Genomic DNA, 2803 nt, shown 5'->3' with positions numbered 1-2803 from the left:
ACTCTGTGGCAACCCTATGAGTTAGGTATCATTACTTAGCTATTGTTCAGGTGAGAGGCCAGGTATTTCCTTGGTTCATTTGGAGACCCGCTATGGGGAAGGGATGTCTTTCAACACCTGGAAACACACAACCTTGCTCACTCCTCAGACTCCTTCAACATCTTTGCTTTTGATCCTTCTGATTTTTAACTATTAAAATCCTTTCAGTTTTTAACTAAAATTTTTTTGTCGTTGTTTGTTTTTTGTAGAGACAGGGTCTAGCTTTGTAGGTCAGTCTCAAACTCCTGGTTTCAAGTGATCCTCCTGCCTTGGCCTCCCAAAGTGTTGGGATTACAGGCATGAACGATTGTGTTAGTCAACTAATATCTTTAAAAAAATAGTAGTCATCCATGCACAATATGAAGTCTCTCACCTATCCCCTGTGGCCAAGATTGGTAACCTCAAGGGCGCAGGAGCCCAGCTGCTGTCTTTAGCACCGTTACACCATTAGTGTCTAGAAGAGTGCCTAGCAAAGTAATCATGCAAATCTTTGTTGAACAAATGTGTGACTTGAAAGTTTTACTTCCGAAAGACAGTAAACATAAAAGTCTATCTAAAATATGGGATAACTTTTGTTTTTCACTATATCTCTTTTATAAGCATCCTTTAAATGTTTTCTCAATTAAAAAATATCTTCATGTGATCTTGAAAATGATAGTATCCTTCTCTGTATTTGACTAATTTTATTTGATGTTGTCTTGAGGGAGGCTTCTCTTCATAACTTCGCAATTTCCAAATAGGGGATTACAATACTAGCTGAAGCACCAGGCTTTGCATCCTGGAAAAATTAAATCTCAGCTTTAGGATATGTATTAATCATATAGACGTGAGCAAACAGTTGGTTAACATTGGGAAACCTGGATATTTTTCTGAGCATTCATTTAGGATTTTAAATGGACTTCTCGCTTGTGTTTATGAGAGGCTTTGCAAAAATGCCCCCAATCTTTTCTGAACTGAGGCTCAGCTTATTTTTCTTTCTTCACTATAAATGCAATGCCATTGGGTCTTTTCTAGTTTCTCTACCTGTTAGCTGGAGAGGCTGTTAATTTCAGCAATGTTGCATGATTTTCTACCAAATTGAGTTGGCTTAACTGACTCAAATTCACTCAAGAAGTTTTATGGGTAAAGTTCTTAAGGGGTTCCTTTCAAAGTGAGCTGAGACTAGAAGTATCACTTTGTGGCATACACACACTCTTGTTCCTTAAGTTCTCCTTGTCTTCGGAAGAGATCCTGTGTGAAGCCTCCCTGTAGAATCACAGAGGGCTCCATTCCACAACCCCCACAGCTGCAGCACTTGTTTATTTATAAATCAGATGGATCCCTGGGGAGAGTGTTTTCCCCTCAGCTGGCCTAGGTTTTTACCACATACGAGCTATAGCTGAATCTAAAACTATGAATAAACTGATAACAAGCAGAAAGATATATTTTTGGCGTAGCATTTTCAAGAATGGAGGAATGCCGTGTAACATGGGAATGAATGTGTTAAAATCCTTCCTACTAGATGAGGGTCTCCTGGCCAGGGAGCTCTGCCAGCGAGAATCTTTCCTTTGTCTCAGCATGCCCCCAGCTGGCAGACGGGGCTCACAATTTGCTTTCCAATATCTCAGCCTGGATATAGGATCTGGTGTTTAAAAGGAAAAGGGGTACATGAAGATTTCCCCAGCCTGCAACGCTCTGGGCAAATAATAGCCTTTGCAGGGTGATCTTGGGCTGTTGCAACACGCGAGGATTAACTATTCAAATAAAGTTCCTTCTCTGCTAGAGAACAAGCCATTCATTCAAGCACGGTTTATCTGCTCCAGGCCATGGGTTTTTGCATTTTTGCAACAACATTTTCCCACTCTCTCTACCCCTCCCCCAACATCTGGGGTGACAGAGGAGGGAACATAAATAATGGTCAGGGTCTCACTGGCTGCTCTATTCTAATCTGTATGGTTTAGTCAGTGGGCCTACTGGGGGCAGGGGAAACTCTTAACTTTGGGCCTAGGGAATGTAGCAGGTGCTGTCGGTATCCTGCCACCACTCACTTAACCCACTGAGGAGGTGTCCTGCTGACACTCCCTCCCAGGTCAGTTTCCTGTGTCTCTCTGTCTGAGGGTGTTGTCTGTGGACTGTGCTCATCCATGGGGCAAACCAGAAGCACCCGGGAGTTAACACCCTGGGAGTGACCCTCCATCAATGAAGGGTGGGAATTAATGGAAAAACATGCAGCGTCCTCACTACTCAGAGGGACAATTCCCTACAGCCTCCCCGAGGCGTCCCTACAGCTACAGCGTCCTGGGGATTTTGTCCTGGGCGCCCACTGCAGTCACCCACTCACTTACCCACACTGGGTTCCCTCCTGCCTGACTCTCCCCACTTCCTCACAGGGCTTCCTGGGGGTCAGCCCCCAAACAAACCACCGGAACGCAAATCTTCATCTCAGGCCCTGCTTTGGGGGAACCCATGCTAAGTCAGGCACCCCTGGGAGATGCAACTGGGCAGGCCAGCTAGGCCTGCCTAAAGCACCCAGCCCAGTGCTGGGGTGGGCTATAGCTTTCCTCCTAATTTTGATGTGGTTCTTGTCTCTTGTTGGCTGTCAGCACAGTCACAGCAGGACAATCTCTGGCAGGCTCCTGAGAACACGCATGCGGTGCCCACTCATGAGAGTGACCAGTGGAGGCTGATGCCTGGCCCTGCCCGGCCTGTCCACCACACCCTGAGCCAGGCATGGGGCTCAGTCAGCAGAGGAAGGGGAGCTTTTTGTGAATTGGTCCATCACAGG

The 2803-nt window shown here is 45.8% G+C and overlaps 1 annotated feature.

Moving 5' to 3' along the window:
* Positions 1928-2428: an enhancer, noted in NCBI's record as "H3K4me1 hESC enhancer chr20:21033223-21033723 (GRCh37/hg19 assembly coordinates)". NCBI's record gives its function as "activates a minimal SCP1, AML or CMV promoter by ChIP-STARR-seq in naive H9 embryonic stem cells {active_cell/tissue: H9 hESC(naive)}" and the evidence as "EXISTENCE:reporter gene assay evidence [ECO:0000049][PMID:30033119]".

This window comes from Homo sapiens, chromosome 20 (genome assembly GCF_000001405.40).
Source record: "Homo sapiens chromosome 20, GRCh38.p14 Primary Assembly".
NCBI lineage: Eukaryota > Metazoa > Chordata > Mammalia > Primates > Hominidae > Homo > Homo sapiens.
The sequence above is the reverse complement of the archived record's forward strand: the minus strand, read 5'-3'. Positions and strand labels throughout refer to the sequence as shown.